The sequence below is a fragment of the Homo sapiens genome, chromosome 2 (assembly GCF_000001405.40).
Source record: "Homo sapiens chromosome 2, GRCh38.p14 Primary Assembly".
NCBI classification, from domain to species: Eukaryota; Metazoa; Chordata; class Mammalia; order Primates; family Hominidae; genus Homo; species Homo sapiens.
In genome coordinates this window covers 15,399,243-15,423,860 of record NC_000002.12, presented here as the reverse complement: position 1 = coordinate 15,423,860, position 24,618 = coordinate 15,399,243, and the positions used below count along the sequence as shown (strand labels likewise).

The following is a 24,618-nucleotide window of genomic DNA, read 5'->3' as shown; positions in this document are numbered from 1 at the left end:
CAGAGATGCCAAACAGCTGCATTAGAGAAGGATCTGGAAGAGAGAGATGACGATTATACTGAACCTTAGAGTATCTGAATACTAATCTTGACTCTTCAGCTAATAGACTTTGTGACTCGGACCTATTGCCTGTCTTTTCTGTACCTTGGTTTTCCCATGGGGTTGGTTCTAGCTAGCAGATGATGATTTCTTTCTTCCACGTTCAGTCTTCACTTTTTACTGCCTGTCCTACCATCAGCCTTTGATTTGACAGGAAAGGTGAATCCAGGTGGTCTGGTGAGCAGCAGTACCATGGGAGGTAATATATCCCCTTTGTTTAAATTTCTACTTAGTTGAGCTTCAAGTCAGTGACAAGTTTTTTAAAAATTTTAAAAATAAATAAATAAAATGAATTTCTACTTAGTTTATCTAGCATGACCCATGTGCTTCCACATGATAGATTTCTTGAATTTCTGCTTAACCTAATTCCTATTTTATAATATTCATAGCATTGAAGATGAATTATTTGCTGAGCTGTTGGGAATATTCTAGACTAAACTCTTTGGGTGATGGCCAAGAACATTTGTGATTGACATCCTAGTCTATGAAGATGCACTTTTGAAAATGTGTAGAATCTGAAGAGATAACACGATGAAGTGAATCTTTGGAAATAAGCTAGTTCAGTTACTTTAATTCCGTATTTTATAAATAGATAAAGTTCACAGAAAGAATGAACGTCTTGCACAGGGACACACAGTGGCAGAGCCAGACAAAATCTGGGTCCCTGTATAATCTTTTAAAATAGAATCTGTATAAAAAAAACTGTAAAAAAATAAATGATCAACTCCACGTAGGTTGTTGTAACGTGCACCTAGACATTTTTTAAGACTCCAGTGGCACTGTATGAGTTATAGGAGTTTTGCAAATATATGTGTTTTGCTGTTATCTCTGGCTAACAAGAAAAATGATTTTGTTAGATGGACAAGTTTTGTTTGAGCCTTTTGCGGTTTCCTAGTTGAACTTATAGATAAAGCTCTTTGAGAATAAGGAGAAAAGTGTGTCTGTGTTTGAGTATTTATATATACATCAAAAAAACTTATTTCTAGGTAGTTTTGTCAGTTGAGCTAGGAATGTGAATTAAAAAATTTCTCATGTCAGTAAAAAGTGCTGGGCAATCAGTATCATGAATTTTAAAAGATCATTAATGATTCCTCAATTTTTGGTGTTTAAATATTTTGTAACCCAAATTTCAAACATTATTCAGTTTCAAAAAATTAGTGACAGAAAAAAATGCCACAATGGAATGCAAAATAAGCTGTGGGTTTTTTTTTTTACAATCAACTATTTTGTTATTTATTTATAGACTTTATTTTTTAGAGGAATTTCAGGTTTGCAGAAAAATTGGGTAGGAAATACAGAGTCCCATATTGCTCCCCCCACTCACAAGTTATTAGTAACGTCCTGCATTTGAGCAATACATTTGTTAGCATTGAAGAATCAAGATGTCCTTTAGTAGGTGAACAGATAAATTGTGGTGCCCCCAAAATAGAATATTTACTCAGCTCTAAAAAGAAATGAACTATCAAACCATGGAAGACATGGAGGAACCTGAAATGCCTATTACTTAGTGAAAGAAGCTAATCTGAAAAGGCTGCATACTGTATGATTCCAACCATATGACTTTTTGGGAAAGCCAAAACTATGGAGTCAGTGAAAAGATCAGGGCTTACAAGGGGCTAAGGGAGATGGAGGAATGAACGGACAGAGCACACAGGAGTTTGAGGGCAGTGAAACTGTTCTTCATTGGATACCATAATGGTGGATATGTGTCATTATGCAATTGTCAAAACTCTTGGGATGTACAGCACTAAGAGTGAATCTGAATGTAAACCGTGGACTTTGGGGGATGATGATGTGTCAGTGCACGTTCATGGGCCTGGTGGGGAATGTTGATAGTGGGAGAGGTTGTGTGGTTGGAGGGTGGGGCAGGAGATATATGGAAATTGTACTTTTAGCTCAATTTTATGGCAAAGCTGAAACTGCTCTAAAAAATAAAGTGTATTAAAGGAAAAACCTATAGAGCTTTCTGAAACTTTAATTTGTAAATAACCTAGCAATAATGCCTGGACACCTTGAATTCTCTTTTTGAGTAATAAGGGATAATTATAAAGAAAGTAAGTTGATTTTGGAGGACTTCAGTTGGCTTGTATTCTTTCTCTCATTCTTTCATTTATTTTAAAACACTTAGAGGCTTTTTTTTTTTGGCTTCATGTTAGGTATTGATGTTTCATGTGGATTATGCTGTGATCAAAGTGATATCTGACATAGTTTTATCTTTTTCATTTTTAGAGATTTAATTGATGTGGGACTTCTTTTTCCCTAGTGCCTTTAGCGAAACTTGTTTGTTGGTTTAGGGAAATGTTTATTGTGGTGAATTTTATCTGGCCAGGACCTAGGGTATATGATATAATTCTGTAAGTTGCATTAGAGCCTACTTGCAGTTAAAGTGTCAGTAATTTCATTTTAAAACACTTATACTTTAGTAAGTATTTGGGAAGGCAACAGATTCAAAGCTGATATTAAAAATACTAGTTTGGATCACAAAATTGGTGAGTATATTACAAATTGCTGATGTACTGTGTGTTCAGACTATCACTTGCACAAAACTGTGCTCTATGCATCAAGCTTTCTTAATGCTTTCTGAGAATTCATTTGAGATAGAGGTTTTTTTGTTTTTGTTTTTTTTAAAAACTTGCTATAAAGGTAGATGTATTCTTTCGGACTTGAACTTTGTTTTTATTACTAGGCATTAAGGTAAAAAAACATGTGTCTGTTGAAGTACTGGGAGAGCCCCCATATTTTGCCTCATACTGTACCTCCCTCTACTGTTCCCCCCTTATATTTATTTGGACCACTCTTTCCAACTGAAAATGCATTTCTTCTTTTTTCACTTCATCTTCACTTGTCCATCCCTAGGTCTTTGAAGGGTTGTGAGTGGGCCTTTATTATTGCGTGGCATTTTTTCTTGGCATTACGTTGCTTCCCCCTCTTCCCCTTCTCCTCTACTCCTTTTACCCCACCACTTCCCTCATCATTCTCAGAACATGATTTGGCTTTGTATTTTATTTGAAAATTTGAGAACTCCATTCCATTTGCATGTGCTCCTTCCAGCTTTTCCCGAGGAAGAGGGCTCTCCTCTTTTGGTCAGAGCCACTTTCTTTCCTTACCTTGCTCTAGATTCCACATTCCCCCCTGCTTAGCGTGGCTTTCTAAGCTGTCTGTTTTCTCTGGCTTGTATCTTTTACCTCTCCTTCTTTACTGCATCTACTCTCTCTGCCCCTCCCCTTTTTGTGGGCATAAAATTCACATCCCTTGTATTTTGTAAATAAAAAAAAGAACCATATTCTCCTTGGCTTCTTTCTTTGCTTTTTATTTCTATCACAGTTCAGCTCAGAAATAGCCACTCTGCTTTTTGTTTACTTCTCATTTCCCCAGAGCCTGGCGACTCCCACCGCCCTGCTGAGACCGCACTCAGTAAGGCTGACAGCCCACCTCAGTCTACCTCTTAATGTCACATTCTCTTCATTTGTAGTTTAACATCGTTGCTTTTTGACATTATTCACTGCTTCTTTCTTGTAATTCTTCTTCGGCTTCTGTGATATTTTTAAGGTGTTTCTTGTTGTTGTCTTAACCATTCATTGTACTCTTCTCCTAGGGCTCATGTTCTTTGGCCTGTCCCTTAATTATTGCTATTGCCCAGCGTGCTACTGTTATTACTAGAAGAGAGTCTGCAGTTGTGACCCATTTAGATCCCTCTCCCCAAATACTGTTCTATGATGTTTGTGCTGACAATTGTCAAATATCATCGTTGGCTGGGCATGGTGACTTATGCCTGTAATCCTAGCACTTTGGGAGGCTGAGGCAGGCGAATCATGAGGTCAGGAGATCGAGACCATCCTGGCTAACATGGTGAAACGCCATCTCTACTAAAAATACAAAAAAATTAGCCAGGCATGGTGGCAGATGCCTGCAGTCCCAACTACTCGGGAGGCTGAGGCAGGAGAATGGTGTGAACCCAGGAGGCAGAGCTTGCCGTGAGCCGAGATCGCACCATTGCACTCCAGCCTGGGAGGCAGAGTGAGACTCGGTCTCAAAAAAAAAAGAAAAAAATCGTCAACCAAGTACATGTACTTTGGCACAGATTTTGTTTTCTTCTTCTTGGACCTACTATTGGGCATCTGTATCAAGATATGGGCACCTCACAAGCAACATGGTCAATATAGAATTAAAAGCCAGGCATGGCATGGTGGCATGCGCCTTTAGTCCCACCTGCTCTGTTGCGGAGGTGGGAAGATCACTAGAGCCCAGGAGTTCAAGGCTGTAATGTGCTATGACTGCACTTGTGAATAACCCACTCCACTCCAACCTGGGCAGTATAGGAAGACCTTGCCTCTAACACAGACACACACACACACACTCATACACACACACAATTTTTACTTTTAATAAATGTATTCTTCTACACACACACACACACACACACACATATATATGTATGAATATGAATTTCTGCTGTGGATTAGATGAGAAATCATTCTAGACTCCTCTTTACTCAAATTTCTCATCTGCTCTGACCAAATTTCACAAATTCTGTCTGCTTAATTATCTGTTATATTCTTTTTCTTGTATGTCTTCAGGAATACTGTCATAGTTTAGCCCCTTATTATTTTTGCCCAGTATATTAGAAATATGCAACAAGTATTTACTGTCTGTGAATAAGTGTGTGAACTAATCAGTCAATGAATGGCGAATCAGTGTGTTTCTGTCAGAATTTCTCTAATACTGGTAACTGTAATTCTTCTGACCAGCCTGCCTATTTTCACTCCAGTCCATTTCCAGTTCATCATGTACATTTCATTCATCAGTCAGTAAATACTTAGTATTCCTTCCAAAGTGTAGCTCTATTTGTGACATGTCTCATTCAGAAATCCTCTGCCTTCCTGATCAGCTGCGTGTTCCTTAGCTTGACACACAGCATTCATGATCCGGCCCGTCCCTCCTACTCTAGCCGTCTTTCTCATTGCTGCCCCTCACACCTTCTTTTCAGTCACGTGGAATTGTACTTTCACAACTCACCATGCATCTCTGCATTCCATGCTGCTCTCCTTCCCATAATCTTCCTTCCTCACCTCACAAATACCCTTTGATTCTTTAGAGTCCATGCTAAGTGTTCCCTCCTCTGGGACCCTCTCAGGCTGGCTAAGTACTGTCTTCTGTGGGATCCGCATCATACACAGCACTCACTGCACTCTGCTTCAGTCATTGTGGTTGTCTTTTCTTACAAGGCTGAGAGATCTTTGAAGGAAGAGACCTCATCTTACTCAGTTTTGTATTTCTAACACAAATGGTGAATGGTGCTTAGCTTCTAGTAGGTCCTCATGAATAATTGGGAATAGGAGAGTAAGAAGTAGTGTGAGAGAGAATGGCTTTAGACTACACTAGATCATTTCTCTATCACTCGGAGAATGTATCAGTTCATAAACTTGACCAGGAAATAGGGGTCAAATGGCTGTTTCCTGAGCATCTTCAGGAATATCAGTCTGTGTTTTTGTCTTTTGAAGGCTAAATATTTGAACTGAGACCAAGAAAGTGTTTGTAACATAGTTATTCAGCAAATATTTATTGAATGACTTTTATATGGAAAGGCAGTGTGAAAGGATAGATACTATACAGGAATATAAAAGTAAAACCTTCAAAACAAACATTCTTTTTGGAAGCAGAGTGGTAATAGTAAAAATAAGGTTATTTTGACATTATCATTAGTAGGTATGTGTTTTTTCTCTTATTATGTAAATATAATGTTGTAAGAATTAAAAGAAATATGTAAAGCTGCATTGTGAACTGTAACGCTCTACAAATTTATAATAGGTTGGTTGTCTTTCTCTTCCGTATTTCTTGCTGATTGTTTGATTCCTTTGAAACAGTTTGATGCTGATGTATTTGATAAAGGACTCTGATGTTTTTGCAGTAAATAAAAAACGTATGTTACTGGTAATGCAATTTTATAAAAAATGATTATAAGAATTAGATTCTGTACTGGAGACTTTTACTTTAGAATAGATGAGAAATATATAATACTCAGGAACTTATTGTTGCTTTTCAATTTTAGGTGGACTGTGCATTGTCACTTATTCGACTTGGGATGGAGCGGAATATTCCTGGTTTGCTGGTTCTCTGTGACAATTTGGTTACTCTGGAAACATTGGTTTATGAAGCCAGGTGTGATGTAACTCTAACCCTGAAAGAACTCCAGCAGATGAAAGACATTGAAAAACTAAGATTACTGATGAATAGTGTAGGTTTTATTTTAACTTCCTTTTTAAATATTTTAAAGCATTTTCTATGCACTTTGATACATATGTGTCTCAAACCAAAGATGAAATGTTCTACAGACCTGAGAAGTTAGTAAATAAAGATTGACTTTTTTCACAGTAAAATATTATGCATAACTTACTAAACACATATAAAACTATTTTGGTTGTGTTTATACCTTGCTTGCCCTTTACTCAGACCCATCTGTATAACTTTTTTTTTCCGTTCTAGTTAGGTGTTTTTCTAAACTAGCTAGTGATTCTAGTAATCCTGTATTTAACCTTTCACTTTGTTAAACTTCCCAATTACTTATGTATTTCAAGGACTGGAAAAAAGTATCAGGGTTAAGAGGACCGGGTGGTTGTTTGAAGAAAACATCTTGGCTTCAGGGTTAGTATGTTTAAGAGAATTTTCCCAGTAATTCTTAGATCATTCTGTGCTTTCTCCCCAAAATTAGAACCTTATTTGTACTCCGGCCACTGAGTCAACAGGCAAGAAGGATGGTGCTGTGGAGGTGGTAGCTGCCAACGCTCTTTCTAGTCTTTTGCTTGTTGGCAGCTTAGGTTGAATGGTCCAGAAGAAGGGGCAGAGTCACAACTGCATGATAGGTTCTTTTTCCTCCCTGGACTCTTTTTCTCTCCTTCCCTTCCACATTTTCCCCCATCTTATATTTATCTTCCTTTTTTTTTTTTTTTTCTTTTTTTCAGATGGAGTCTCACTCTGTGGCCCAGGCTGGAGTGCAGTGACGTGATCTTGGCTCACTGTAACCTCCATCTCCTGGGTTCAAGCGATTCTCCTGCCTCAGCCTCCCGAGTAGCTGGGATTACAGGCGCCTGCCACCACACCAGGCTAATTTTTGCATTTTTAATAGAGATAGGGTTTCACCATGTTGGCCAGGCACTGGTCTTGAACTCCTGACCTCAGGCGATCTACCTGCCTAGGCCTCCCAAAGTGCTGGGATGATAGGCGTGAGCCACCTCTCCTGGCTTATCTTCCTTTTGTCTCTCCCTCTGTCTTTACTTTCCCGTTATCTCATTAGTTTCTTTTCCTGATAATCTACCTAATTAAAATTAATTTGTGTTATATGTTGACTCCTCTTAATAGCTTTAGGTGTATCTTTTGGGGGATAATTAAGAGAAACGATTGTGTAATTTTAGGGATAATGAGTAAAACTATCTCTGTCATTTGGAATTTTGTAAAGGTGGTTGTAAAGGGGCAAAACAAAGAGGAAGAGGAAAAAGAAGGGAGAGATTCCTGACTTTTATAGATGAAACCCTATTTTCTAGAGGCCCCTATTTTAGAACCTGTGCTTATTTGTGTATCTCTGTCTTTCTACTTTTTTTATTCACTCTTTGTTGGTCTAAGGTCTCCTTTTCTGTGTGTCTCTGCCTCTTTTTATACTCTCTCTCTCTCTCTCTCTCTCTGTTTTTGCGTATGCCTTCTCTTTGCTCTGGATGACCTCATGACTGAGTTGTAGTAGCAGCATGTTGGTTTTCTAGAGCTGAGCTTAGGCTCCTTGGGACCCCATATTGCTTATGATGTAAAGAGATGAGCCATAGTGATATTGTTGCTGTCAGCTCTACTAGCCCCAGTAGCAGGTGATTCATTTTCCTGCTACCTGTCAATCCACATGTGAGTGGTGAACTGGACTGTGTGTTTTAGAGTGTTGGGTTTGCACTGTTTAACATCAGTCTGAGGACCTGTAAGCTTTAGAACTCGCTGTCTGATATAATAAGGCATTTAGTTTAACTTCATTCTTGTTTGTCTGTTTTGCTTGATTGTACTTTCAGTGTTCTGAGGATAAATATGTGACAAGTGCCTACCAGTGGATGGTTCCCTTTCTTCATCGTTGTGAGAAACAGTCGCCTGGTGTGGCTAATGAGCTATTAAAAGAATATTTAGTAACTTTAGCTAAAGGGGACTTAAAATTTCCCCTGAAGATATTTCAGCATTCCAAACCAGATGTAAGTAGAAACTAACTTCTTAAAATTCTGGGCACTTTTTCCCCTACAGTATTAGGTTTTATTTATACAATTTTTATGGTAGGCTTTGCAGATAATTTCCCTTTAAACAGAAAAACAAATGATTGTCATTTTATTGTTTAAAAAGTTTTAACAGCATAGTCAAAAGGTTGTAAAATTATGTTTATTTTGATTTATTTCATTCCAAAGTTTGTTTGCCATCTACTATATTTAAGAAGCTGGCAATACCAAGAAGACTAATAATTGGCAAGTATTGAATTCTTCTATACATGACTTTCCCAGTGTTACCTCATTTAATCCTTATAACAATCCTATGGCATAGATACTTTTATTATGTTAATATTACAAGAAATGAAAATTGTGATATAAAGTGAATAGGGTAATTGCCCAGGGTTGCACAGTAAGTAGAGAAACCAGGATTAAAACATAGTATTCTAATTCCACAACTGTGTCCTTAACCAGTACACTTTCTCCTACCACAAACAGGAAAAGAGGTTTCTGCCCTCGAGGACCTTCACAGTATTTATGCAAATTCTTAAGTTCTCATAAGACATCTTGTAATTATTCTTTTTTTTCTTTTTTTGAGACAGAGTCTCGCTCTTTCGGCCAGGCTGGAGTGCAGTGGCATGATCTTGGCTCACTGCAACCTCCGTCTTCCGGGCTCAAGCAATTCTCCTGCCTCAGCCTTCCGAGTAGCTGGGATTACAGGCATGTGCCACCATGCCTGGCAAATTTTTGTATTTTTAGTAGAGGCAGGGTTTCACCATGTTGGCCAGGCTGGTCTCAAACTCCTGACCTCAGGTGATCCGCCTGCCTCGGCCTCCTAAAGTGCTGGGATTACAGGCGTGAGCCACTGCGCACGGCCGATATTTTGTAATTATTCTTAATAATTCTTATATTTGCTTACAATTACTATATGTATAGCTTTGTATTTCTAAAGGGTACAAATGATTGCTCATATTTCCTGGTAGTATAGTCATTTTGTTAAGTGTAGGGTACTTTGGCAATATCAGAAACCTAAAAATTTAGCCATAGATCAAATATACTGTTTCAAGAGATAGTGTCTCCCTTTCCATTGGAGGGTATGCAAGCAAGTTGGCAGAGCCACAGAAGGCGCTGACTTTGTAGTGAGGTTCAAAACATTAGATTGGGGTTCAAGTGGAAGCCCCATGTAGGGCTCATTCCAATTCTAAATTCTGGCTGGGACTATTTCATTGCACCGGCCTTCATTAGTAGTGTCTGGTAAGATACATGGTCATGGACCAGTATAATCAAAATAGAAAGGAAAACATTGCTTAGCTAATCTATGTTTTGGTTTCTAAAAGGGTGGTCTTTCAGAAATATATCTGTTCATTGGCTTTTTAAAATTTTCTGTCTTCTCATAAGCAGTTTGCTCTTAGTAATCTGATTTTAAGTTTGGGGTGGTGAGGTCAGGGTGGGTTGCTTGTGGCAGCAGAATACTTTGTGAGAAGCAAGATGGATTGAATATGAATGTTTTATGAGGAAGAAAGAAGTGACTTTAAATTCTTTCCAGTAATCTTGTGTGTTATACTTCCGTAAATCCTTTGTATATAGTCAGCTTTTTGTTGTTTTTACTTGGCAATTTAGCGTGTGCCTTTTGAACAAAACATACAGCCATTTGCCTTTGTTGAAACATGTGAATCTCAAAACAGAGAACAGTGATGTTGTTGGGCTCTTCCTTTCCAACCCAGCTTCTGTATTTCTCTCAGTGTTGTCTTCCTGCAACATATATGTGATCATGTCATGATCTGCGGAAAGTTTTCAGTGACTGACCGTTGCTGACAGGTAAATGTTGGATTCTCTAGAGTGGCTTGGAAGGTTCTTTGCTGTCTGCTTCCTGTCTGCTTTAGCTTTATTTCTCTCCATGCATGCACTAGGATACTCACATGGAACTTAACTCCTCCGCTGTCTGTTTCACTCATGGCCCTCCGTGTGTTACAGACTGTTTCCTTTGTTTGGAGTAGTGATCCCGTTTTCTTCACTTAACAAATACCTGCCTATCCTTCAAGGTCCTGCTAAGATTCTCTCTGCTATGAAACCTTCTGTGACTTCTCTGTCTTTGTACTCTGTCTCTATTATAGCTCTTATCATACTGTGCTGTATTTATTTGCTTACATATTTCTCTCTCTCCCCCTTTGCTTTCTGTATATATCTTCTAGATCTTATTTATCTCCTTATTACCAGGGAATTGCACAGTGCCTAGTAGAGAGCAAATGTCAGCAAATTTTGGCAGGGCAAGTGAATAAATAAATGAATGATTGAAACTGGTGTCAATATAAAAAATGTAGCAAGACAAATCTCTAAATGAAAAGATTTTATTTGGGAACAATATTCAAGAAGTAGGACTGCAATTCAAGACATACATACAGAGCAAAGTGGCTTCCAGTATGTGTGGAGAATAAAGGAATGGGTTAGGGTTTATTGGGGAAAGAGGAGGTTACGCAAGTTGTTTTGAAAAGCAATCTTATTGGCGCTGGCAGTGCCTTACAAGAGCTGGTGAGTCTGACTGGTAAGTGTCAGTTGCAGTAAGATAGGGCTTTGTAATCTTGGAGTTACGGTTAGGCTCTTGTAGTTTTGGATTGGGCTTGGGATAGTTTTTGAAACAGGCAAGCGTTTATGTAGAAGTAATTAGCTGTCCTTGTGTGATTCGTGTAGTCAACGGTGGTTTGGAAAATTTTTTTGTGATAGTTACCTGTTATCAGGCAAATGATGTGTAAGAGCCCCCCCTTCATGGCTCTCCCCAGCTCCATTTGCCAGGGTTTGACACAGTGACTTCTATTGTGATTCTTAAAAATTTCACACTGGATTTTATTATGATGCTTTATATCACTTGATTACATTTGTTTGCTTTATTAAAATTGTGCAGGCAGCCTTGTTTGTGTTTTACTTGATTATTTACAAAAAGAATGCACCTCAGAGCTTCCATGAATCATGCACAAAGTATTTTTAGTAATGTAATAGGTGCAGTTATTTCTGTATCAGACAGGATAGACTAAGTTATGCTACATTAACAAGTGACATCTATATCTTAGTAGCTTACGACTGCGAACATTTATTTCTCACAAGTGTCAAACGTCAGCTGTGGTTGGCCTCTGCTGTGTCCCATGTCTTATTCATTTGGGGACTCAGGAAGAAAGAACAGTCCCCTTTTCTCTCTTGTGGCATAGGGAAGAGAACAAAGTAGAACCACACAGTGGCTCACAAAACTTCAGTCCAAATGTGGCTTAGGTTACTTCTTCACATTTCACAGGTCAAAGAACGTCTCATGGGCAAGCTTGATGTTAATGGGGCAGGGAAGAATAATCCTCTCAGAGGAAGAGAGGAGCAAATACTTGGGAATGATAATGAAGTTGACCAGAGTCATAATGATAAAGAAATGGATCTTTAGACTTATACTAGTGCTACCATTACACTTGACTGCCACATTTGTCTTTGAAACCATCTCTTATGCCTCAAACCTTCCTCTTTTTAAAAATAGTATCTTAAAGCACTCCTTTCTGATTTTAAGCCATTGTTCTTTGCTTGGATTCCTCCTTGGAAAGTGAAACTTGGGAAGAAACTTGGGCTAGTCCTAGATAGGGGTAACTGGGGGACAAAAGCTTCCGCCTTCTCATATTGTTCTCTGACTTCTAAACTAGTAATCTTTGAGTGTATCTGTGCCTCAGAACCATGTGCATTTTTTCTTAGCATTTTCTATGCTCAATCCAGATATAATGGATTAGAAATTAGCAGAAGCATCCTGGAGTATGCGTTTGACAATTTATTCGGTGATTTTGATGGAAAACCGGGAACAACTGCTTTAAATGTCCACTCTTCTTTTAACAAATAGGACTTTACTAGGTATCATAGCTTTGTTAGGTGCCATCTTTTTTCTTCACTTCTGATTACATATGTCAGTGAGCAATTTTAGTTTGAACATGACCTTTTCTAATTTAATGCTTACTGTAGAATATTTAGAAAACTCAAAAAATATAAAGATGAATATAAATTTTTGTAGCTGGCAATATCATTGACTAGAAATTCTAAAAATCTTACCACTAAAATATTTAGAAGTACTCATTAAAATGTTAATTTTAAAAAATCTGCTTACCTGCGTGGTTGAACTTTTAGGAGAACAAGGGAAATTTCTACCAGGCAAAAGTGAAGAGAGGGGTAGAAGTTAGAGAAATACTCATGAGAAGGAGGGAGTGGCTACTTGGGATGGGGATTGTGGTCTTGAAACCTGTAGGGGAGTGAATTTTAATACCTATCTTGAGATAGAAGGTGAAGTCTTTAAAATGATGAGTCAGAAGTCAGACTTCTGGTAGATCATGAGTGACCTGGTCAGCTGACCCTGGAGCCGATTTAGGGCGCTTGCCTCGGCTTCAGAGTCACCACAGCCATGGCCAGTCGGTTGGCCCCAGCAGCTGCTGTAGGCTGAGAAGCCATCCACCGAGGAGGGGTACCAAGCAAAAGAACAGGAGGAGGAAGCAGGCCAGTGCCTTAGCTCAGGCTGAAATTGAACAGTACCATCCGCAGAGGGAGAACGTGTTCAAGGCCTTGGAAGCTGCAGCACTGGGATCCCACGGAACTGCAGGAGACCCACGAGAAGATGCCCATCTTCCAGACCTACTTCTAGCAGAACTGGGATGAAGTCTTGGACAACCTTTGCTATATTGGCTAGAAATCCATGGAAACTTCCAGAAGAAAGGAGCACCTGTTTCATGGACTGGCATTTTAGATGCCCGCATGGAATATGAAGCTTTAGCAAAGCTCAAGTTATGGTCTTGTGAAAAGGCATTAAATTATTTCTGTATATTATACAGTAGGTGTTTTAATTTTTTGAGAGTAGCAAATCTAGCTTCTTTGTACAGACTTAGAACTTATGCAAAGATTTTATCTTTTTCCCTCATATTTCTTAGAAATTTAATGAGCACTTGTTGTCTGTTTTCCTATGCCTTTTAGTCAAATACACATGTATCAGTGTTGACTTTTTCTTTCTTAGATCTGGTAAGAAGAAATCCACTTCTTTGAAGAAAAAAAGGGATGAAATAATTTTTTTTTTGCCCTAACACTTTCTTGAAGGTCATGGGCTTTATGAAAAAGTATTAAATAGTTACTTGAACCTGTGAGAAGTTGCAGCAAGCCTTAAAGTAGTTTATTCTTGCTAACGGTTAGAATAATGAACACTTGGGAATTGTTTGGGCTACATTTAGTTTCTCTTAATCAAAATCACCAGATGATAGAATTCACAAACTTTCTACATGTTATTACTTGGTATACTGATACTCATTTAAAATTAAAGATTCTTTGTCATGCAGAAAATAAAAGAAAAAGAAGAAATAAGACTTCTATATAATGCCATGGCTCTTTAAAAGATGCATTGTCAATAATGTAGAATAGGAAACTGCTTATCATTGGCACATGAAGGTAGCAGAGGAGCATGACTCCCTGGGTATGTATTCTGGATTCTAGGGGAGTGGGGAATGTGGGGGCAGGGAGTTTCTTTCTGAGCAGTCAAACAACAGGCTTGCCTAACATGAATTTGTGCTTTCAATTAATACGCCTCTGTGACCTGTGATAAAACTGGACATGGGCTGGTGATACCTAGTTTGCTTGGTAGCAGCAAAAGCAAAACCTCTCTGAAGGACTCACTTTAATCTAGATTGTACAAGATTCTTATAGATAAAGCTTTGATGAGGATAAGTTTACAATCCAACTTTATAAAACACAAAAGGAAACTAAACTTTGAGCAAAACTCCGTGGCAGGCCTTGCTCCACTTCCCCTCTGGTAATAGATGATCAGATGCAGGCTATAAAATGAATATTTTAAATATTTAGGATATGAGGAAAGAAATAAAGACATGAGATAGGAAGGAGAAATTGTGAAAAAAAGAGTAAGATTTGAAAAAGAGCACATAGAACTTCTAGATTTGAAACTGTAATAATAAAAGCAAAACATTAAATGGATGGATTCAAAAGAATTTTGGCTACAATTAAAGAATTGAAATCTTGAAGATAATCTAAGAAATTTTCTGGATTGTTACACATGAAGGTGAAGAAATGAAAAATATATGGGGTTAAAAGACATTGAGGATAGAGAGAGCAGGTCTGTCATGAGAGTAATAAGCATTCCAGGAAGAGAGACTAGAGATGACAATAAGCAGACAGTATTCAATGTGGGACTTTCCTAAAATCAATGAAAGATACGAGGTGCATTCAGATCTTGAGGAGGATAAGTGAAATACAGTTCAGCCTATATTTAGATGTACTCTAATGGAACTTAAGGATACCACGGGCACAGAGAGAATCTTAAAAATGGCCTAGGATTAAACAAAAGTTACAGTCAAAGGAAAACCGTAAATCTGAAAGCAGACTTCTTAAGAACAATGGATACCAGCAGACAATGAAATAATATATATGTGTTAAATGTCAAGGAAAATTAACCTTGATATTTAAGTCAACCTAATAGTTAATGATAGCCAGGATTTACTTGATGCTTTTAAAATAACTTTTTGTAGGGATGGTGTCTTGCTACGTTGCCCAGGCTGGTCTCTGGAACTTCTGGCCTCAAGCAGTCCTCCCAGCTCAGCCTCCCAAAGCACTAGCAATACAGGCATGAGCCACCACGCCTGGCTACTTAATGCTTTTTCTTTGGTAGTTATGTTTTAAACATTTCACATGTATTAACTCATTTAATTTTTATGACTATATAGCTATCATTGTTCGCATTTTATAGATTCAGAGAAAGCAGAGTAGTTAATTAGCTTGCTCACATTATATGTTTCTTATTTACTGATGCATTAGGGATTTAAGCCTAAGTAGTATGACTTCAAAATCTTTAAGCCACATAGTATACTGCATTTCTAACCCAGGATATTTTACTTAGAGACACTATCATTCAAATGTGAATGTAAAAAAGACTTTTTAAAGATAAGTGAAAACAGAGAGTTTATCATTTACAGACCCATCCTGAAAGAATTATTCAAGGATGTACTTCATGAAGAAGGAAATTATATACAAAAAGAAAGTAGTGAGATATAAGAGGGAATGATAAAGAGTGGGGAAAAAATAATCATACTTAGGAAACAGTAAATATGAGAAAAATATAAAGCATTCAGTGTATAAATTAATAATAATGAAAAAGTATGGGAAGTATTAAAAGCAAGGTGAACAATAGTAAGAAGGTAGTTTTAGCATCAGAGTTAAAATGACCAGAGGATCTGAATTGTTCAGGTGTTGGATGAGGATAATCTTAACCAGACTTTGAATAGTCAAGTATGCGTATTACTTTATTATATTTTTATTCTGAAGTATAGCACATGTGGTAGGTAGAATAATGGCCTCCCAAAGTGTCCATGTCCTAATTCCTGAACCTATGAAGATGTTACCTTACCTGGCAAAAGGGGCTTTGCAGGTTTGATTAAACTAAGGACTTTTAGATGGCAAAGCTATCCTGAATTATCCAGGTGTGTCCAGTCCTTAAAGGTAGCAGATCTTTCTGGCTGTGGTCAGGATGCTATAGAATTGTCAGATTGTTGCTGTCTTTGAAGATAGAGAAAGGGGCCTTGAGACAAGTAGTGTGGGCACCCTCTAGAAGCTGGAAAAGGTAAGGAAGTGGGTTCTCTCCTAGAACATCAGAAGGAACACATTTATTTGCTGACAACTGAATTTTAGCTCAGTCAGGTCCATTTTGGTTTCTGACCTACAGAACTGTAAGAGGATAAATTTGTGTTAGGTCACCAAGTTCGTGGTAATTTATTATGGCAGCATAGAAAAATAATATGGCATAAATACAGAAAACTACAAATAATGTATAAGGCTAGACATTTTTCTAAAGAGAACACCTGTGTAATTGCCATTGAGGGTCTTTTTTAAAATTTTGCTCATTCTGCTGTGTACGTAGCAACATCTCCTTGTGGTTTAATTTGCAGTACTGTGATATGGAAATTATCCTTTGCTAGTTACCCGTGTGGCAAATAATCTCCACTCTCTTTGCCATTTTATTCTCTGAGTAGTGAAGTCACTGTCATCTGATCAGGGATTGAGCGGTTTCAAGTTTCAAAAAGACTCTCCTATTTCCAGTTCTCCCCTATTCCTAGGGTGTAGTCCTCCAGAAAGTATCAGAAGTATTGGGTGATTACTAGGCCCCTCTCCTTGGCAGGTCCTGGACTCCTGTCCCAGCAAGATATGTTTGCGGAGGGCATACTTAACCCCTTAAACTTTTGGCTGCAATTTTCTGTGCACTTTCTCTTGGTCTATGGTCCTCAGGAAGTGAAAAGTACCTCTCAAGCTATGCTATTCAAAATGGTAGTCACTAGCCACATATGGATATAAATCTAAATCTAATAAAATTTTAAAAACTTACTTAGTCTCACTAGCTTTCCATGTGTTGGGATACATGCCATTCCCAATATTTTTGCAATTACAAGCAGTGCTTCAATGAATAACCTTGTCCACATGTATTTTTATATTATTGGTGTATTTTCAGCATATATTCCTGGAAGGAGACTGCTGGGTTTAAAAAGGCAAGAGTTGTCTTGATGTAGCCAAATTTTTCTTTAGTAGGACTGTTCTAATTTACATTCCCACCAGCCAAGTAGGAGTATGCCCGTTTCTCCACAATTTTGCCAACAGAATTTGTTGTCATATTTTAAAATTTGTGCCAATGTGATAGGTGAGAAATGGTATTTCAGTGTTGTTTCAATTTGTGCTTTTCTAATTAAGAGTTTTAACATTTTCCGATATGTTAGATAGGCATTACCTCTCTTGTGAATTTATTCCTGTCCTTACTCCATTCTTCGATAGGGTTTTTGTTCCTTTGTACCTTAATTTTTAGGAATTCTTACATATTCGTGTAACTAACCCTTTCTCTGTGGCATATATTAATATTTCTCCCAGTTGGTCAGTTGTCTTTTGACTTTGTTTATTGTGTCATACAATGTTTTCACTTTTTAATTTTTGTGTAGTCAAATTGTTCGATCTTTTACTGCCTCTGTATTTTGAGTAATAGTTGGAAAGCCTTTTCATACTCAGAGTTAAGGAAGAATTCTCTCACGTTTTCTTCTAGTACTTGCATGGTTTTATTTTTCTCTTCCCAATTTATTTGGAGTTTATTCTTTTGTATTGTGAGACATGGATCTGATTTTATTTTCCCAAATGACCACGCAGTTGTTCCAGCATCATTTATTAAAAAGTTTACCATTACCCTAGTGATTTGAAATGCCACCTTTGTCATATACCTAAATTTCCATCTGTACATGGGTTTAATTCTAGAGTTTCTATATTCTACTGGTCTGTCTGTCCATGCACTAGTACTTCATGATTTTAATTATAGAGATTTTAGTGTGTTTTAATGTCTGAGGAGGTAGTATTCCTCTGTGGGTTTTTTTCCTCATGTTTTTTTGTTTTGTTTTTTTTTTTTACATGTTATTGTATATTTGTTTTTCTATCTGAACTTTAGTAACAGTTTGTCTACTTTCATAAAATTGCTTATTGGTATTTTATTGTGATTGCATTGAATTTGTACATTAACTTAGGGAGACCAATATTTGTATAATGTTCAGTCATCTTATCCAATAATAGCGGATGTTGTTCTATTAGTTTATGTATTCTTAAATCTCTTTTAGAATTGCTTGAAAATATTCCTCTTAGATGTTTTGCACATTTTTTGTTAAATTTATTCCTAAGTTTTAAGTTTTCTCTGTTTATACTATCTACCTTCATTTCCTCTAACTATTTAATGTTTGTGTATATAAAAGCTATTTATATGTTAGTTTTGTATTCTGCTACTTCACTGATTTGATTGCTTGATTCTTTGGGATATTCCAGGTATCCTATCTTATCATCTGTGTTCTTTTCTAGTTGTATATAGTGCATAATTTTAAGAGTTTTTAGAAATTATTATTCTTTTGCATTTTACCTTGCTATGCAGTATGGGTGATGATCTGCGGCCTATGGTGTGGAAGACTCATTTCATTGACTTCTTAGGAAGTCCCAGATGGGCTGTCCTCTTTTAGCTTGAGAAAGGGCAAATGACAGTATAAAAGTGACAACTGAGATAATAGGGAAGGAATAATGAAAAAAAAGTGTGTCTTAGACTATATGAAGTTAGGCATCTTATAGGGATTCTAACAGGGAAAGATTGAAAAATGTCTTATAAATTTGAACAGTATGTTTCATGTACATGATAGATTATATTTTAAAAGATATGCAGAATGGCATAAGAAGAGAAAAGAAATGTGCCATAGGAATACAGAGAGAGAAGGGTATCTTATGTATGAGAGTAGTATAAGGACTTATTCACTGGACTAGCAACTGTTGAGCATACTCCAGGACTGTAGACATCTGGGAAAGCTGAATTTAAGTCAAAGTCAAACGGAGATAACACTGGATTATTGGGTAGGTTTTAGACATGGCAAGACATGTCTTCTTGAGAAGACATTCCAGGTAGGAGTAGACTAAAACAAGGAGACATAATCTGGTTAATATCATGTTTAGGTAAATGCAAGTAATTTAATTTGAGTGAAATAAAACTTTATGTAGAAGGGTAAGTGGTTCATGGGAGCAGGCCATAGAGGTGTTTAAGTGGAAGGCAAAAGATTTATTCTTTACCTTTCATATTGAAGGACTGTTAAAGGATTCTCAACGTAAAGTTTGAACATATGTGGTCAAATATGGACTCAAGGACATTGAATGTAAAAGTGGTTCTTTAGGGCCGGGCGCAGTGGCTCATGCCTGTAATCCCAGCATTTTGGGAGCCTGAGGTGGGTGAATCACCTTAGGTCAAGAGTTGGAAACCAGCCTGGCCAACATGGTGAAAGTCCATCTCTACTGAAAATACAAAAATTAGCCAGATGTGATTGTGGGCACCTGTAATCCCAGCTACTCAGGACGCCGAGGCAGGAGAATCGCTTGGACCTGGGAGGTGGAGGTTGCTGTGAGCCGAGATTGCACCACTGCACTTGAGCCTGGGCGACACAGCGAGACTCTGTCTCAAAATAAAAAAAAAAAAATTAAAAAAAAAAGTGATTATTTAATGTCTCACAGAGGGAAAGATAGGAAGTGGGGAGAACAAGTAAGACATCAAGGACTTTGGCTTTTATTTCAAATGGTTTCCCAAATTGTTCCTTGACTGAAATTGGTTTCAGTGTTTTTATCTTCCAGGGATGTTTTCTTACCATATATGAGTGTTTTATTGCCATATCTTCTCTCAATTTCTTTCATTCTTCCTGAATGCAGGATTATGAGAGCCTGTCTTGCTTAGTTTAGGCTCTGGAGCCAATTGCCTGGTTTGAATCCTGGCTTTACCACTTATTAGCTCTGTGGGTTCAGGCAAATTATTTGACCTCTTAGGGTATTTGTTTTTCATTTGTGTATAATGAGAATAGTACTAGTAGTAATTTTATAGGATTGTTATGACGATTTATGAATTAGTGCACACAAAACACTTAGAAATGGTACCTGGCACACAATAAGAAATCAGAGGGCTGTGTGTGGTGGCTCATGCCTGTAATCCCAGCACTTTGGGAAGTCGAGGCAGGAGGATCACTTGAGGCCAGGGGTTTGAGACCAGCCTGAGCAACATAGTGAGACCTTGTATCTGGAAAAAAAAAAAAAGTGTATAGACACACACACACACACACACACACACACACACACACGAAGGAAGGAAAAATAAATCAGGAAAAGGTAGCTGTTTTTATTAATTTTCAACAGTACTTATTTTTATTACTGTCAGCTTGTTCCTATTTTACCAGTTAGTCACTTTGCAACCTTGGTTAACTCTTTGTCAGATGACATTTTTCAGATGAATACGTTCATCCCTCAGTATCTGGGGGGGATTGCTTTAGTACCCCTCTTAAGCCCTCCTGCCGCCAGGCTACCAAAATCCATGGATGCTCAAGTCCCTGATACACAATGGTGTAGTATTTGTGATAACCTTTGCACATCCTCTTGTATACTTTAAATCTTCTGTAGATTACATATAATACCTAATACAATGTAAATGTTATGTAAATAGTTTTTATACTATATTGTTTAGGGAATAATGACAAGAAAAAATGGTCTGTACATGTTCAGTACAGACACTTTTTCCCCCAGATATTTTGGATACATGGCTGGTTGAATCCAGGGAAGTGGAGCCCACAGGTATGGAGGGCCAACTCTACCTTGAAGAAATGTATATAAATCCTTTAATTCAACAGCTTTGGAAAACTTTGTTTTCCTGGTAACCTTGAAAGTTTCTTTTTTACGTCCATTGATGTGATTTTTCTACTGAGAAAATGCCCTTGTTTGGTAGCTTCTCTCCATCACTTTCCTATCTCTTTTGTGTTTACTGATGAGTTTCTACTAAAACATTGAAAACCAGTAGACTATTATCATGGAAATTATCTTAGATTTATTTTATTGTTCAAAAGAGCTCTAAGAAAATTACTTTCATTTTGGTTGCTGTGGTGCTAATAATATAAGCATGCAAATGATTTTTTGCTGTATTTATTTTTCATTCTATATTTATTAATTTAATCCTTGAAATAGTCTTCTTAGAAAGGTATTGTTAATATTCATGCTTTATAGATGAGAAAAAAATCAATTGGTTATTTTCATATCCTGGAAAATACTCCAAGAATGGGAATCTGTGGTTTGCCATGGGAAATGCTTTGTTCTATACAGAAAGTCACCCTAAGTAGCCATCTTTCTTCATCAGAAATATGGAATGTGTTCTGTGATTTGTGTATTGATCTATTACAGTTGGATTTCTTTTGAATAGAATGTCAGCACTCTGTAGTTAAATGAGTAATATATAATGCCTACTGAAAAGTAATAGGTTGTAACATCTTTGAATATTAGTTAAGGAATTTTATATAACTTTGTAACTGAAACACATAGAATTTGGCTTCAGGGTTAGAAATGTTCTTAATGAATTGCCTTTTTAATTCACAGTGTTTCTTTTTTCTATATTGACTGGGTCATAAATTGAAGAATCTGTTTTCAGCTGATACATAGCTTATGGGGTTACAAATTATCTTTTATAGTTGATCTGTAATTAAAATGTGATTTCAGTTAGAATTATTAAAGACCCCAGAAATCTATAAAGAAAAATCAAGACTTGTTTCTATAGTTGATTAATTGTGCTATTTAATATTCTGTTGACAGTAGTATTGGGATATGGAAAAATTGACTATAAATCTGTTGACATTTAGTACAACATACTTTATTTTCTGTAGCTGCAGCAAAAAATTATTCCTGATCAGGACCAACTGATGGCAATAGCACTAGAGTGCATCTATACCTGTGAACGAAATGATCAACTCTGTCTTTGCTATGACCTACTAGAATGTCTGCCAGAAAGAGGATATGGGTAAGAATACACAGTATGCCAGTCTTATTGTGTTTTTTTATTCTAACAGTTAAAACAAAAACGTTGCTTCCCCAAATGCTTACCTTAGAGAATTTTGGGAATGTGAAAAAAACATAAGGAAGAAAATAAAATTATCTGCAATCCTATTGCCTAGGATAAACATTTCTTGTCCTACCAATATATGGGAAGTTCTATATTTTGTTCAACTGTAATTATAATTAAATTCTGAATTTTGTCAAACATGATAATTTCCTATTGAAAAACAAAAATACCACCACGATCTCCACAAAAACTACTTTTTATAAGTCAGTAGGTAGTAATTGTGTTTTTAATGAAGCATTTTTCATATTTATTGGCTAATTATATTTATTCTATGAATTATTTCTTCTTGGCCTTTGCCTATAGTACTTCTTTTAAGTAGTGAATGTACCTAATTTTTAACTGCTTTTATGTTTAAATGGAAACGTATATAATATGCTTTTGGATTATTTAGTTGTATGCAAGTCAAATTTGTATGTTTTCTTTGGAAGTCAGGTAGCAATCTAATCCCTCTATTAAATTTAGCACATATGATAAATTTCACATCTGGAGACATAAATAACAACACATGAAAGAGTGGTGAATACCAGCAGACCTGTTTTAAACTTTTATGACTTTTAACCAAGTCACTTTACTTCTTTGGTCATTAGTTTCCTGATTTACAAAATCAGATATTTAGACAAGAAAGCCTCATTCTCTGTTTTCTCTTTCTCTTTGCTCTCTTTTTATCTTCTCCCTCTTTTCTCTCTTTTCCTTTTTCTTTTAAGGACATTTTTATTTCTTCTTTTTATTTTGGGAGGGGGGGCTCATATCTGACTAAAGGAAATTTTTATTTCTTATGAAGCAAATGATAGCAGTCACCAATTTTGCAATCTACCATGAAAGAGTTATTCATGCAGTCATTAGTGGTACTGAAATCAGGTGAAAGATTGATGATAAAAGGTTATTTGCATGATACCAAAGTATTACCCTAGTGACTTTTTTTTTTTAAGTTTCAAAGTTGGGCTCTAACTGCCATGATCTTAACCAAGTCGTGAAGGGTGGCATAACTTACAGTCAGACAGCCTGACCTTACGTGCCTCCTGATGTGATCCAATATGAAGTACCTGGTCTTACAGCATCCCTTAAGAAATATTTTTGCTAAAGTTGTTTACCCTGAGTCTAATCAGTCTTTTAGGTTGAACTTCTAATTTGCAGTTAATACGGGAAATAGAGAGACAAGGTAAATAACACCATGAAGAAAGCAGTAAGACAACTACTGAATGTGGGATATTCTATGCATTAACTGGTCTTTTTACTTTAAACAGTTAGTGTCATTTAGGAAGACAAAATGTGGGGCCGTGGGGAGGCACTTTTCTAAAATAAAGGAGCCTAAAGGGACATGATCTTCCTCTGATTTTTAAATATAAATAATGTATGAACATAAAGTCAGGGAATTCTAAGACTGGTATTAGTAATATCAGCTGATAAGCAGCTGTTTGCTGCCCACTTTTCCCATCCTTGGATTCCTATCTTCAAAAAGCAAATACTTTCACTGGTAGGTTTTTCCTTGTCTTTGCCTACCTCCTTTAAAATGTTATGCTCGTGTTGTTATTTTTTGATTTTGCAATTTTAGATCATTTTTGACTTCCTTTTATGGAAGTCCTTTCCCTTCTCCCATATCCACTTCTCCTACCATTCTCCAGTGTTTTCATCATTATGATTACGTAAATATTGTTTATACTGCGGAACTAGGTGTGATTTATTTTCCTTTTAATACAACTCTCTGTTTTTCCTGGATTGAATAATTTCCTTTTCTGTTGTTTTCTTTTTTTCCATCACCCTCATGAACTACTTGCAGTCGTGAAAACTATTTAATGATCTCTCTATTCCTTTCATGTTTTTTTTTTTCTCTGTCTCTTCTTTTCTCGCTCTCTTCCTTTTGAAACATCCTTCTTGGAATTGGTATGAATGAATTGTTCTCTGTGTCTGTTGTCCATCTATTATCCCGGGACTTCGTTTGCCTCTCTCTCGTGTTGCATATTGCATTTCTTGGTTTTCCTTTCTTCTTTCTTCACTTTTTCCTCATTTTGGTGGAGCATACTGTCAAATAGCTTCCTGTCAAAGATTGCCTGGGAGGTATTTTTTAAAAGACTGTCACATATTAGGAAAATGCCACAATTGCACACTTTTACTTGGTAGAAGGTTTAATTGTACATGGAATCATAGACTTAGAATCCTTATCTTGTGAATTTTGAAGGTATGACTCTTGTCTTTTCTTTCTAGTATTGTTGAGAAGTTCAATGGCATTCTGAATAATCCCTATTTAAATATGGATTTTTTTTAAAGAAGATTTCAATATCTTCATTTTTTGTGTTTCTGTTTCATATGTAAATTCATTGTGGTGTTCACTGAATGGTCTAATCCATTCTGGAAATTCATAACCTTCAGACCTTTAGGGTATGTTCTTATATTTTTTCCTTGATAAGTTTATTTGTACTCCTCTTTTTTCTTCCTTCCTTCTTCATGTAGGGAAAGGTAAATCAGAGTGGACTCAGCATCTGTTTGTTATTCAGACCTGTACCTGAACACAGGCTACCTCACATCCCTAGTAGAGAGCAGCAGAGTGTAGCAAGTGTGTCTCTGAGAACTGTAGGCCTTCCATAGGCAGCCAAAGGCAGGTAAACTAGATAGTCTTAATAGATTTTTGTAGCAAACTGTTGTTCCCATCATTTAAAAACCTCAACCCAAAGGCTATCAGTGTGGCAGTAGTCAAATTGCTTTTCCCTGGAGGGTGACAAGAGATGCAGAAGCCCCTGGTTCCTCCGAGAGCTGGAGTGGCAGGGAGTTTCTTCCTTGCTGGGCTCTGTGGGAACCTTATGATTCCTCTGTCAGCTTCATATCTCA

At 36.9% G+C, this 24,618-nt stretch overlaps 1 protein-coding gene across 11 annotated transcripts in view; it reads left to right on the top strand.

Moving 5' to 3' along the window:
- Window positions 1–24,618, top strand: part of NBAS (NBAS subunit of NRZ tethering complex) — a 782,426-nt gene that overhangs the window by 137,474 nt on the left and 620,334 nt on the right. For all 11 annotated transcript variants that reach the window (XR_007076390.1, NR_052013.3, XM_017004317.2 and 8 more), the window contains 3 exons: window positions 6,149–6,334; window positions 8,142–8,315; window positions 21,560–21,693. Coding sequence is in view for 9 of the 11 variants with exons in the window: in XM_017004317.2 (XP_016859806.1) it covers window positions 6,149–6,334; window positions 8,142–8,315; window positions 21,560–21,693 (494 nt within the window). In the remaining 2 variants the exon portion in view is untranslated. The remainder of the gene's footprint in view (window positions 1–6,148; window positions 6,335–8,141; window positions 8,316–21,559; window positions 21,694–24,618) is intronic.